This window comes from Homo sapiens, chromosome 5 (genome assembly GCF_000001405.40).
Source record: "Homo sapiens chromosome 5, GRCh38.p14 Primary Assembly".
Taxonomy (NCBI): Eukaryota; Metazoa; Chordata; class Mammalia; order Primates; family Hominidae; genus Homo; species Homo sapiens.
In genome coordinates, this window is record NC_000005.10 from 174,967,807 (window position 1) to 174,982,544 (window position 14,738).

The window sequence follows — 14,738 nt, forward strand, 5'->3', positions numbered from 1 at the left end:
CAGCCCAAGAATGTGGTTGCTATGATTTTGATTTTTTGAATTTGCTGAGAATTGTTTTATGGCCAACTGTGTGGTCAATTTTAGAGTATGTACCAATGAGAAGAGTGTATATTCAGTTGTTTTGGGATGGAGAGTTCTGTAGATGTCTGTCAGGTCCATTTGGTCAAGTGTCGAGTGCAGGTCCTGAATACTTTGTTAGTTTTCTGCCCCAGTGATCTGTCTAATATGTCAGTGGGGTGTTGAAGTCTCCCACTAGTATTGTTTGGTTATCTAAATCTATTGACAGGTCTTTAAGAACTTGCTTTATGAATCTAGGTTCTCCTGTGTTGGGTGCATATATAATTAAGATAGTTAGGTCTTCTTGTTGAATTGAACCTTTTACCATTATGTAATGTCCTTCTTTTTTTGTTTGTTTTTAATCATTGTTGGGTTAAAACCTGTTTTGTCTGAAATTAGAATAGCAACCTCTGCTTTTTTTCTGTTTTCCATTTGCTTGGTAGATTTTTCTCCATCCCTTGACTGTGAGTCTATGGTGTCATTGCTTGTGAGATGGGTCTCTTGATGACAGTATATAGTTGGGCTTTGATTTTTTATCTAACTTGCCACCCTGTGCCTTCTAATTGAGGCATTTAGGACATTTACATTTAAGGTCAATATTGATATTTGCATATTTGATCATGTCATCATATTGTTAGCTGGTTATTATGCAGACTTGATTGTGTAGTTGCTTTATAGTGTCAATGGTCTATGTATTTAAGTGTGTTTTTGTAGCATCCAGCAATGGTCTTTCCTCTTCTTATTTGGCATTTCCTTCAGGACCTCTTGTAAGGCGGGTCTGGTGGTAACAAATTCCTTCAGCATTAGCTTGTCTAAAAAGGATCTTTTTTCTCCTTCACTTATGAAGCTTTGTTTGGCTGGATATGAAAATTCTTGGTTGGGATTTCTTTTCTTTAAGGATGTTGAATATAGGTCCCCAATCTCTTCTGGCTTGTAGGGTTTCTGCTAAAAGGTCCACTGTTAGCCCAGTGGAGTTTCCTTTATAGATTACCCGCCCCTTATCTCTATCTGGCTGTAAAATTTTTTTTCTTTCATTTTGACCTTGGAGAATCTGATGATTGTGTCTTGGGGGTGGTTGTCTTGTATAGTATCTCACAGGGGTTCTATGCATTTCCTGAATTTCAATTTTGGCCTCTCTAGCAAGGTTGGGGAAATTTTCTTGGACAATCTCCTCAGTGTATTTTCTAAGTTGCTTGCTTTCTGTTCCTGTCTTTCAGGGATGCCAAGTCACAGATTTGGTCTCTTTACATAATCCCATAATTTTTGGAGGTTTGTTTATTCTTCTTTATTCTTTTTTATTTTTGTCTGATTGAGTTACTTAGGAGAATCAGCCTTTGAGCTCTGAGATTTCTTCCTCAGCTTGTTCTTGTTCTGTTCTGCTATTAATACTTTCAATTGCATTACGAAATTTTTGAAGTGAGTTTTTCAGCTCTAACAGATCAGTCTGGTTCTTTCTTAAAATGGCCATTTTGTCTTTTGTCTCTTGTATTATTTTATTGTATTCCTTAGATTCCTTGGATTGGGTTTCAACTTTCTCCTGGATGTCAATGATCTTTATTTTCATTCATATTCTGAGTTCTATATCTGTCATTTCAGTCATTTCAGCCTGGTTCAGAACCATTGCTGGGCAACTAGTGTGGTTGTTTGGAGGTGAGAAAACACCTCTGGCCTTTTGAGTTGTCAGTGTTCTTGTACAGATTCTTTCTCATCCTTCAGATTGAAGGATGATGCCCCTTCAGTCTTTGAAGTTGCTGTCCTTTGGATGAAGTTTTTTCTCTTATCTTCTCTGATGCCCTTGGGAGTTTGATTGTGGTATAAAGTGAGTTCAGTCAACTGGCTTCATTTCTGGAAGATTTTAGCAGGCCAAGACTCAGCCCAGCACTCCCGGGCTGCGTGCTCTAACTTTGGGTGGTTTGTACCAGGCCCCTGGTTTTGTTCTCTGGCCCCATGAGGTTAAGAACCTGCTGCACTAGAGGAGCTGTGGTGTTCCCAGTCCATCGGCCACAACACTCTGATGAGGGGCTTCCACCTGAAGCACATCGTCAGTGTGGTGACAGTGGGATTTGTGCTCACTCGCACATGCCAGAAGCCATACCAGGGTGCACACACAACTCTGGGAAGCAACACTGGTGGGGGTGTTGCTGGTACCCGTGCTAACACTCACAGCAGCAGCAGGGCAGGGCGCTGGTGTGGTTGCTGGATCCTGTGCACATTTTTGCTCCATTTGTGAATGGAAGTACTTAATGTGGTTATCTTATGCCTGTCCCACCATCATATGTTGGCATGTTATGGGTGAGTAACTTGTCTCTGCAGAACACTGATTAGATTTAGAAGAACCATATCTAAGGATCCTCATCTGCACCCAGACCTGATATAGATGATGAGATCCTAGACCTAAAGTCCAAGCCCAATGCTGTAACAGAATGAAACTTCTTGGGGAGAGGGGGCCTTGTGAGGAGGTAAGTGTATTTTGCATGTGGGAGGAATGTAAATCATTTGTGGTTAGAGGGCAGACTCTGGTAGTTTTAAAATACATCCTCAATTTCTTTTATACTCAGCTCTTTGTGGAGTAGAGTCTCTGTCCCTTCCCCTTGAAAACATGTAGGCTTCTGCAACTGTTTAATTGTGGAAATGAAACTACATGACTTCTGGTGTTGAAGGATTAAAGGCACACAACTTTCCTTTTGGTCACTGGAACACTCACTCTTGAAGCTTTTGACTACCATAAAACAGTGGTCCAACCGCCCTGAGATCATCACGCTGTGAAAAAGCCCAAACTAGCTCACACATGGGAAGCCGTGGGAACACACGAAGGAAGACAGATGCCAGCTGTCAGCTCTCAGCTGCCTCAGCCATCCACTATTCCCATTCATACATCTACCTGCAACTGTATGGGAGACCTTGAGCCAGACTCCTCACCTGGGCACTAACTGAATTCCTGGCTCATAGAAACTATTACAGATAGTAATACAATTGTTTTCAGTCACTAAATTTTGGAGTAACTTGTTATGTAGCAATAAATAACTGAAACACCTATTTCATAAAATACGGCCTCACTGAGAGGCACATATTGTGCACATTTCAACTTCAGTAGTTAAGAGTGTGAAATTGGCAGGCGCGGTGGCTCACGCCTGTAATCCCAGCACTTTGGGAGGCCGAAGCAGGCGGATCTCCTGAGGTCGGGAGTTTGAGACCAGCCTGACCAACACGGTCAAACCCCGTCTCTACGGGGCATGGTGGCACATGTCTGTAATCCCAGCTACTCGGGAGGCTGAGGCAGGAGAATCACTTGAACCTAGGAGGTGGAGGTTGTGGTGAGCTGAGATCACACCATTGCACTCCAGCCTGGGCAACAAGAGTGAAACTCCATCTCAAAAAAAAAAAAATAAAAAGTGTGAAATTACATTTGCATAATCAAGTTAGAGTAGTCAAGATCTTTACAGATTTTCTTCAACAGCAAAAAGAAATATTTCATTTTGCTATAAACAAGATGATGTCAAGCTTACTTTTGGATAACTGTGTGGGAGTTGGGCAGAAGGCCTGGCCTGTGTCTCCATATGGTGCTTTCCAGATGACTCTTTTGTTATCTGATTCCTTGAAGCCATACCTCAACATTTGACTCTCTCTATTGGACTCATCTTTAGCTCAAACATTTCTTCTTTCTGTCTAAAGAATGAGACATACTTGCAGTGGAAATTTAAGTTACCACTAGAGAAAAAGAAAAACAAGTAACAAAAGGAAGAGATTTTCATAAGTAAGAGAGTCTAGAAAATATTTAATAGATAATATTTCTATTATAGGGTTAGAAATTTTAGCAGGAGATTATTAGGAAGGCTGTGATTTTAACTATGGATGATTTTTCATGAGGCTTATTTGGATGCCACATCATTTTTTATGTGAAATTAGAACTTAGAAAAATTATGCCAGTGGTTATTTCTGTTAATGGGACCATAGGTAACTTTTCTTTTCATCTCTTGCTTATCCATATGTTTTTATATTTATCACTATTCAACTTGTATTAGAAAAAAACACATTATGACCTCGGAATTAATATAGTATTATTAAATAACACACTGAAAGCATAGCTATAAAGAAAAAGAGCAACAAATCCTATTGTAATAAAACCAAGATCTTCTGTTGAGAAAAACTTCAATAAAGTGAAAACGAAAGCCACAAATGGAAAGAAACATATAAATAATAAAGGATTGATGTGCGCTATACGTAAAGGATGCTAACAAATCAATTAGGAAAAGAGAATACATCCAATTGAAAAATAGGCAAGAGACATGAACAGATATTTCATTAAAGAGGAAGATCTGGTCCCTAATATGTGTATGAGAAGGCACTCAATATCATCAGTAATCAGAGAAATGCAAATTGAAATGTCAACTATATGCTATTTTATATCCACTGAATTGAAAAAAGTTAAAAGAAATAGCCTTCAATCAATACCAAATGCTGATAACAACGTGTAGCTACAGGTGCTTTTTTTTTTTTTTTTTTTCTACTTTAAGTAGCTACAGGTGCTCTTATCCATGCTAATGGCAGTAAAACTGGTTCAACCACTTTGGAACACAAGTTGACACTGTGGAGCAAAGTTGATAGTGTACACTCCTTATATGCTGGCTATTTTCCATTTGCCTTTCTGGACCCCTTCTCCACTTGTCTTCCCACTGTTCTGTGCCTGGGAGGCTGACTCACACACAGTGCATCACAAACTGCCTTCATGCGTATATCTGGATTTGGCTGACTGTGGCTGCAGATCTGAAGGCAGAAGGAGAGTGAGGGCAACTTATTCATCTCCCAGCTCCATGCTCCCTTGCCTGCGCAGTTTGCTGGTGGCTATGTTCTTCTCCTAACCACCACAACTTCAGTCTGACAGCCCTCTTCCTCAGTTCTCACTCTACGTCCTGGGAACTGTTCCTTCCGGTCTTAGGGTGCTGACAGCTCATGCTGCTTTGAACCCTAGGATGCTTCACCATCCTGTTCGTTGTTCTCAACCCTGTGTCATGCTTGTAAATAGTTCCTGCACTGAACTGCTTCAATTCAATTGAAGACAATTGGAGTGTATGTCATCTATCACCTATGGCAACCTTGACTAAAATGAAACATGACCTAAGAATTTCACATCTGGGCATATACCCTGGAGCAGTGTTGTGCAGCCGAAATCTAAAGCAAGCCACACATGTGAGCACACATGTAACTTGAAATTTTCCAGGAGCCACATTTCTAAAAGTTAAAGGAAGCTGGTGAAATTAATGTTAACAATACTTAACCTAGGATATCAAAAACATTAACATTTGAACATGTAATCCATATAAAAATTATTAATGAGATACTTTACATTCTTTTCTTTGAGGTAAATCTTGAAAATTGAGTGTGTATTACATAATTACAGCACATCACATTTTGGACCATGTTGTGCACATTTCAAGCGCAGAATAAGAATAGCCGCACGTGGCTAGTGACTACCGTACTGGGCACCACAATCCTACAGAAAACTCTTGCATAAGTTTCCCAAGAGACAGCCTGACCATCCCAACATTAAGGCATATTGCTTCCACACAAACAGAAAAGGATTGCCTCTGGTTGGTTGCAAGTATTTCTCATCCATCTTCTTCAAACCAAATACTCCTTGTTTACAATGAACTTCAATTAAATTTATTTATTTATTTATTTTTGAAACAGAGTCTCACTCCATCACCCAAGCTGGAGTGCAGGGGCACAACCTCAGTTCACTGCAACCTCCGCCTCCTGGGTTCAAGCAATCCTCCTGCCTCAGCCTCCTGAGTAGCTGGGACTACAGGTAAGCCCTGCCATACCTGGGTAATTTTTGTGTTTGTTTTGTTTTGTCTTTTTAGTAGAGACAGGGTTTTGCCATGTTGGCCAGGCTAGTCTCGAACTTCTGACCTCAGGTGATCCACCCACCTCAGCCTCCCAAAGTGCTGGGATTACAGGAGTGAGCCACGGTGCCCGGCCTACAATGAAATTTTAATGAAAGGTTTAGGAAACTGCACCAGTTACAGAGTTGGGTGGGAGGAAACTGAAAAAGGTAGGTTTGGGTCCAGTTACCGTGTTCTCTCACTCGTCACAGAAAAGTCCCTGTATGATCTCTCATTCTCTGCCTACTCCCTTTTTTAACAGTCTTTTTTTAAAATTATCATTATTATTATACTTTAAGTTTTAGGCTACATGTGCACAATGTGCAGGTTAGTTACATATGTACACATGTGCCATGTTGGTGTGCTGTACCCATTAACTTGTCATTTAACATTAGGTATATCTCCAAATGCTATCCCTCCCCCTCCCCCCACCCCACAACAGGCCCCGATGTGTGATGTTCCCCTTCCTGCGTCCATGTGTTCTCATTTTTAACAGTCTTTTTAATTAAGTATTTTCATTCTATCATTTGCACCTCTTTCTCTGCTCCTGTCCCACAACATACTCCTGTGGCCAAGCTACTTCTTCCTAATAAGTCTCAGGCCTCTGGCCCCTTCTGTGTTTTGCAAGCTCCACAACCTCTGTTAATTATTGCGTATCAGTGATTATTTTCCTGACTATAGGAGTAGCAGATGTGTATTAGTCTGTTCTCATGCTGCTAATAAAGACATACCTGAGACTGTGTAATTTAGAAAGAAAAAGAGGTTTAATAGACTCATAGTTTCATATGACTGGGGAGGCCTCACAATCATGGCAGAAGGTAAAGGAGGAGCAAAGTCACATCTTACACGGTCGCAAGCAAGAGAGCCTGTACAGGGGAGCTGCCCTTTATAAAACCATCAGATCTCATGAGACTTAGTCACCATCATGAGAACAGCATGGGAACAACTGGCCTCCGTGATTCAATTACCTTCCACTGGGTCCCTCCCACAACATGTGGGGATTATGGGAGCTACAATTCAAGATGAGGATTTGGGTGGGGACACAGTCAAACCATATCAAGGTGAGAGAGCAAGTTCTGATCTTGGTGGAAGGAAAGCCTTCACCCCTTCCTTCCAAGAATTCTCATTCTCAAAGCTGCATTGTGCATATGTCTTTAATATATGTAGTGATCTCCATTTCACTCATGCTTTTGGAAATGAACCACTCCATTCCATGAAGGCTAGGGGAAGGTCTTACCAAATTCCCTCTCAGATTTTAAAGAATTCACTTGGAGTAAAGAAAGGTGAAAATTAGGAAAGAACAACAACAAAAAGAACCAATTTTAAAGAGAGAGAAAATACAACTTTTAAAGCTTTATTTTGGGTTAAGATTATAGCTGCAGGGAATGATAATTGAGTAGATATTAATGTGCAAAGTGCTGTCTAAATAATTATGGCTGGCAATGGTATTCAATTATCATTTTTGAAGATAGAAAACATTTAGAGACGGTCAGGTTAACAGGGTGCTAATTCCAGAAGGCAAGCATTTTAAAGTGTTGGTGGGAAAGTTGCCACATTAGAGACTAATTTATTTTAAGTACAAATCAATAGCCAATTTACAGGATAAAGTGAAGGTATTTTGTAAAGTGTAAAAAATGATGCTGTTGTAAGAGATTAACTTTATTACCAGATAAGATGTGGCAAGTTTTACAGAGAGAAATGCCACCTGTTCTACCCAATACCCTATATTCTTCCCCTATTCTACCCATCTACCTTCCTTTTCTTACCCCAGCTACTCCAAAGAAAGAAAAATGGCCAGTTTGGTCAGATATCAAGACCTTTACAGGAATATGGTTGGCCAATGGAGGGATCAGGGCCACCAAGTGTCAGAAAAGCTATTCTGCTTTCTACCTCCCTCTGTCAAAGTCACCTGTGCAAGACTTGCCTCTTGGGGCTAGGACAGCTGGCATCTCTCCAGTGGGGCACAGGTATATTAGGGGCTCAGTACCCATTCAGTCCCAGCCAGCCCTCTTCCCTCTGACCCGGCCTAAAGCCCACTTCCCTCCTACTTGCAAGAGTGGCTTATTAAGGGTCCCAAGATTTGAAAACAGGAAGAATGCAGGAGCCCTTTATACCTCAGTCTTGAGCTTTGTTCTCCAATTCAGGGAGAATGTGAAGCTCTGTTTTAATTTTTTTTTTTTTTTTTTTTTTGGTTCAAAGAGGGAAGTGGGGAGGTGGGGAGAATGGTGAGAATATAGGATGCCTGTTCCACTTTCAATAAACAGTATAATATTTTTTCCATTTTGCTATTGTTCTTTATATGTGTTATTCTCTTTGCAAAAAAAAAAAAAAAAAAAAACTGCAGAGAACAGGGCAAGTAGTAGACATCAGCCAACAAAATCCAATTTTTATCCCAATATCCCACATTATTCTCCAACCCCAAGAAATTTGGCTAGTGTCTGTGTGAGATTTAAAAATATAGAACACTCAATTAAATTTGAATTTCAGATAAACAATTGGCATTTTTCAGTATAAGTATGTCCCAAATATTGCATGACACATATTTATACTACATTTTTGTTATTTGTCTGAACTTCAAATTTAACTTGGCTTCCTGTATTTTTATTTGCTAAATCTCACAATCCTTTATCTACGTTCTGATTCTCTCCAGAAGTAGTTAGTGCAATGTCTAAGAAAGAACAAGGAGACTAGAGCCGTACAGACCTGGGTTTGAATACGTGCTCTGTCACTCATCAGCTGTCAGATCTTGGGGAATATATGTCACCAAAGTCAGTTCAGCTTCCTCACCTGAAAAAACAAAGATAACAATAGTGCCCAGTTTATGGGGTTGTTGTAAAGACGAAATAAGTTGATGCATGTAAAGCACTTAAAATAGTGCTTGGTAGGTATGAAGTGTTCAGTAATATTTGTATTAAAAGGCTTTCTGGTATGGCAGCAAATATCATTCAATGGCAGTTCTTTGGTGCCCGTCCTATGCTCCAATTTATAGATCAATTTATATAAACCCAAAGTCTTCTTCACAGGGAATCTGATATGTTTACCCAGGCCCTTACACCCTTTCTAATGGAGCCTGTCAGCCGATGAGTCTCTCAACTCTTTCGTAGTGAGAGAAGCACATCAAAATGCTCTGAGAGCAACATTCTTAAATCCTCTTATAAAAAACAGGCGAAAATTAGCAAGGATGTTTCTATTCAGAAATAGGTTAACCCCTTTTTCCTTTTGCTACAAAAAGAAATGTCTACTGAAATTGTGCTGAAACAGCTGGAGGGATGTAACACTGGAAGTTATATGAGCTAGTTCAAGAAAGGAACACAGGGAAAATAACTTTACTGTTTATGAACTCTTTTCGTTATTACAGAAGTTATTAAAGTGTCTGGAAGGGCTCTCGCCAAACCTAGCTATTGTGTTTATGCCTCTAATAGTACTGGGATGGGCAATTCACTGTTTGTCCCCTTTGCTTTTTTTTTTTTAAATAAAACTATTTTTATATCTGACTTGTGTGGTTAAGTTATTTAGAAAATATAACAAAAACAAGTAATATCTGCTCATGAGACTCTATTTCAAAGTACAATCTCTCATCACCTACTCTCACTCCCAATAAAGACACCATTAGTCAATTTTTTATATATCATTTTAGAAATTTCTGTGACTCCACAAGAATATATATAACACAGCCTTCAAAAACCAGAGCAAGGTTTTACTCTACATAACTGTTGAACAACTTGCTTTTGTCATTTATCTTACTATGGAAACTTTTCCAAATCAATACGTATACATTTTCTTCAATCTTTTATATAAGCCTGTCTTCTATAGTGTAAATGTACCAAACTTAACTGCTCTACAAGAAGTGGTTATAGAAATACTGGTTTAGGAAAAGCTAGGCTCTTTGGGGCGTGCAGTCATTTATCTAATCTTGTAAGTAACTTCAGTGGATTAAATTTTCCCTTATAGGTGAACGAAAATGAAAACACAGCATACAAAAATAGTATGCAGCAAAAGCGGTGCTCAGAAAAAAGATTATAAAATAATACCAAAAACAATGCTATGCTAACAAATTAGACAAATAAGATGAAATAAGAGCATTCCTAGAAACACAGAAACTGCTAAAACTGACTCAAGATAAAATGGAAAATCTGAATAGAACAATAACAATTAAAGAGACTGAGTTAGTAATTTTATAAAATCTTTCTAGACAGAAAAGTCCAGGACCAGATGGCTTCACTGGTGAATTCTACCAAATGTTTAAAGACGAACTAACACCAGTCCTTCCAAAGTGTGAAAAAGGAGGAAATACTTCCTACCTCTTTCTATGAGGCCAATATTACGCTGATACCAAGAGAGGACAAAAACATCACAAGAAAGAAAACCACAGACCTGTCTCCCTTATGAATACGGATGCAAAATCTTGAATAAAATGCTAGCAAACTGAATGCCAGCACCTAGCAGCATACAAAAATGATTGTGATATACAAAAAAGGATTCCTATTATAACTGAGATTTTGTATTTATTTTTTGTAGAGACAGGGGGGTCTTGCTATGTTGCTTACGCTGGTCTTGAACTCCTGGCCTCAAGCAATCCTCCTGCCTCGACCTCTAAAAGTGCTAGAATTATAGGCGTGAGCCACCATGACTAGCCTGAGTGAGATTTATTTCAGGAATTTAAGGTTAGTACAACTTATGAAAAACAATCAATGTAATACGACAAATTAACAGAATAAAGGACAAAAACAACATGATTATCTCATTAGATAATGAATGAACACATCTGTGAAAAATCCAGTTAATATCATATTTAATAGTGAAAGACTAAAAATGTTCTTCCTAAGATCAGGAATAAAATAAGGATGTGTGCTCTCACCACTTCTATTCAACATTTTACTGGCAGTTCTAACCAGGAAAACAGGCAAGAAAAAGCAATAAAAAGCATCCAGATTGGTAAGGAAAAAGTAAAACTACATCGATTTGTACAAAATCCATAGAAAACTATTAGAGCTAATAGACAAGTTTGAAGGATACAATAGCAGTATAAAAATCAATTATATTTCTGTACACTAGAAATGAACAATCAATAATGAAACTAAGAAAACAACTCCATTTGTAATAACTAAAAAATAAAATACTTAGGAATAAATTTAACAAAGGAAATACAAGATTTGTTTACTGAATGACTAAATATCATTGAAAGAAATTAAAGAAAACCTAAATAAATGCAATGATGACCCATGCTCATGAACTGGAAGACTTAATATTATTCAGATAGCAATACTCCCCCATGTTGACCCGAAGATTCAATGAAATACCTGTGAAATTCTAACTATTTTTTTCCAGAAATGAACAAGATAATTCTAATGTTCATGTAGAAATGCAAGAGCCAAAAATCTCCTGAAAAAGAATGAAATTTTTTCTTACTTCAAAACATGATACAAAGCTCAAGTATTACAAACAGTATGGAACTGATACAGGATAAGCATATAAATCAACCTAATAGAACTGTGATTCTAGACATAAGCCATAAGCCAATATATCTATGGTCAATTGATGTTTACCCAGAGTGCCAAGACCATTCAACAAGTAAAGAATAGTCTTTTCAACAAATGTTGCTGGGACAAGTCTCATTTCTACATGTAAAAGAGTGAAGTTGGACTCTTACTTCACCCCATATAAAAATTAACTCAAATGGATCAAAGACCTAAATGTAAGAGCTACAGTTATACATCTCTTAGAAGAGATGTGTAAATCCTTGTGACCTTGGACTAGGCAATGTTTTCTTACCTATAACACCAAAGCATACACAGCAACAACAAAAATGGGTGAATGGACCTCATCAAAATGAAAAACTTGTGTGTGCCAAAGAACACTATCCACAAGGTGAAAAGGCAACCCACATAATGGGACAAAAATATTTGCACATATGTATCTGATAAGAGTCTAACATCCAGCATATACAAAGAACTCTTACTATTCAACAGTAATAAAAATGTTCTGGAATTAGAGAGTGGTAATGGTTGCACAAACTTGTAAATGTACTAAAACCCACTGAACTGTTTTCAAATGGTGAGTTTTATGATATGTGGATATCAATTAAAATATTTTTAACAGAATTCCCTTCACATATTTAGTCAACTGATTCTGTATGTACGTGCTTATTTATTTGAGAAGTGTTGATCAAGTTCCATCCGTATGTCTGACACTATTCCTCTGTGGAGGATGAAAAACCAATGGTTCCCACCTTCAGGATGGGGAGGGCTGTGAGCCACAGGGAGGGTGGAAATTAGTAAGACGAAGGCAGGAATTGGAGATAGTATTAGAAAAGCAAAGCCTAGGGCAGTCATGTTGGTGAGGGGAGAGCCCTGGCCTTGAAGTTGAACTGCACGTATGGGCTGAGTGATAGTCGTTAAGTCATTTAATATCTCAAGGTATTTATTCTGTTTTCCATTCATGTCACTAATGGGACTATGCATCTCTGCCTGGCTGATATTTAACATAAGAAGACAGTCAGGGACCATTTAGCTCAGTGCCCACTACGTGTGCAATGTCGAGCACCTATTCATGGAATCTGATTTCCCCCTGAGCTCAGGAAGCTCAGGGGGAAAGCTGGCTCCTTCAGAGCCAAGTTCAAGGATTTTCAGAATGCCCTTTTCTGGCTGTGTTTCTGACCAAAATTCATATTCCAGAAAGGGTGAGAACCTAGATGGATTTTCATAGGTGGGGGGTCATTTGGAGTCAGCAGGAATGCACATCTTGGCTAACAATACTACTAAGACCCAAGGCTATATTCTGTAGGGGATACTGGATACTCCGAAGGAAGACATGGGGTCCATTTGCAAAAGGAGACATGGCTGGTGGGTAGACAGAAACTATAATGTCCCTTATAACTATCTAACCCCACACTCCTTGCAAGCCTTAACCACCCTGGCCTCACAGAACCTCCTCCTCAGAGTCCTTTCTTTCCATCCTTAGTACAATATGGTTCTGAAATCCACAAACCAGCATCGTCCCCAGCATCCCTCATTGATGAAGTGGGATAGCAGATGTGAAAGCCTTTTGCAAATTGCAAAGTAGTTTATAAATATGAGTCTCTATTGTCACTCATGGTGGGAGTTTTCTGCCTGCCATGAACAGGGTTGAGCTGTGGAGAAAGGCCTAGGGACCCAGAGAAGCTTCCTTTGGAAGACTTACCAGATCTGGATGGGAAAGAAACAGTTTCTTTGGGTTGTTGGCTTGTAAATAGCTGATTAGATAAACAACTTTCTAAACAGCCTTTCAGATCTGGAATTAACACTGTGCTCCTCCTCACACTCCATGAAAAGAAAACAGGGAGGGCCGGGGCACCTCACTGACCAGAGGGAAGTGTAGGGAGAATTCTGTTTACTGCTCCTCCCCTTCTCTATTAGCACGCCCCCACCCCAGGGCTGGAGCCTCACTGGACCAAGGCAGTCTTAATGATGGCTCAGAGATGGCAGGAACCAGGGCAAAGCTTCCTCCCAGTAACAGTATTTGTTCCAGATGTGGGCAAGTGACCCAAATTGATTCAATCAGAGTAAAGCCTACTTATTTTTGTTTAATATTGAGTGAAGGAAACTCCCTCTTTCCTTGTGGGCAGTTGGGGGGTGCATGTGTCGTCTAAAAATTTGCATTCCATTGCTATCCTCTGAGTCTTTCTTGTTTACTATGGTGAGATACCACGAGTGATTTACACTTGTTATCTCATTTGATCCTCTGCCTATCTTGTGAAATGTGCACTTGTATCCTCACTTTGCAGAGGTTCCCAGAAGTTAAACGCCATGCCCAGTAGGCGTCTGTCAGATTTGGGATCGAAATTCAGATCTTACTGACTGTGCTTTTAACGTTGTTCCTTTCATCAAAACAGCCTTGCCCTACCTTGCAGCTTGAGAGCCACCTATTCCTTGTAATGGAACAAAAATTATGAACACACCAATGTTCTCAGTGTTCCCCCTCTTCCTCCTGCTGCTAAAGAGGGTGGAGTATTCTCCCTGCTTCCACCTTTGCCTGGTGGCTTGTTTAACTTCTATTATACATGACGGGAACAGGGAAAGGAAAACATATGTGGATGGGGACGAAAGGAGGCAAGGGAGAGAGGGAGGAACAGCGGAAAAGGCAGAAGGAGGTTCGTTTTAAAGAATGTGGGACTAGAAAGGAGAGCTTCAGAAGACTGAAAAGGAGGGCTTCACTGCACTGGAGAGACAAAGGAAAGAATTTGGGTTCTATTGAAAATAATTTTTGGTGGCTGGACTTTGTCTCGTGGAGTGACACCTGCTCTGAGGCCATACACTGGGGTCACGGTGTCATAAACATTTCATCAGCAAAACACAGAATGTGGGGTCCGATAATCATGTTCCTTCACAGCTGAACAGAATGTGACATTTTGCTAAAAACCTTAACATATATGCTTTGTTTTATTTCTCGCCTGAATCTGTCAGGTAAATAATGTTATCTTCATTTTGTTCATTAATCCTACATTATGAAAGAAATTCCATAGAAAACTAGGCAGCCCCAGAGAGTAAGAAAATGTTCTCCTGAAGATAGAAGAAAACAAAAACAGAAAACAAAGCAGAAACGTGGTAGCTTTTTCTGCAATGTCCAAGGGGGAGTATTTCCTGCAGAATAAGGGTTACTAATAACGTCTTTTATTTATTGAGCTCTTCTGGAAGTGGTGCAGTATCATTTCATTCAACAGACCTTAAAACTTCCCAAAGGAGATATTGTTCCTTTTTCCACTACACAGATGAGAAACTTGAGACTCCACTGTGGGAAGTGCATTCATTTCCTGTATCTGCC

The 14,738-nt window shown here is 39.4% G+C and overlaps 1 long non-coding RNA gene across 1 annotated transcript in view; it reads right to left on the reverse strand.

The window, feature by feature from the left end:
- The window catches only part of LINC01951 (long intergenic non-protein coding RNA 1951), a 76,650-nt gene that overhangs the window by 48,725 nt on the left and 13,187 nt on the right, over positions 1-14,738 (reverse strand). Inside the window, exon 2 of the long non-coding RNA NR_046113.1 lies at positions 8,643-8,726. This is a non-coding gene — a long non-coding RNA (long intergenic non-protein coding RNA 1951). The remainder of the gene's footprint in view (positions 1-8,642; positions 8,727-14,738) is intronic.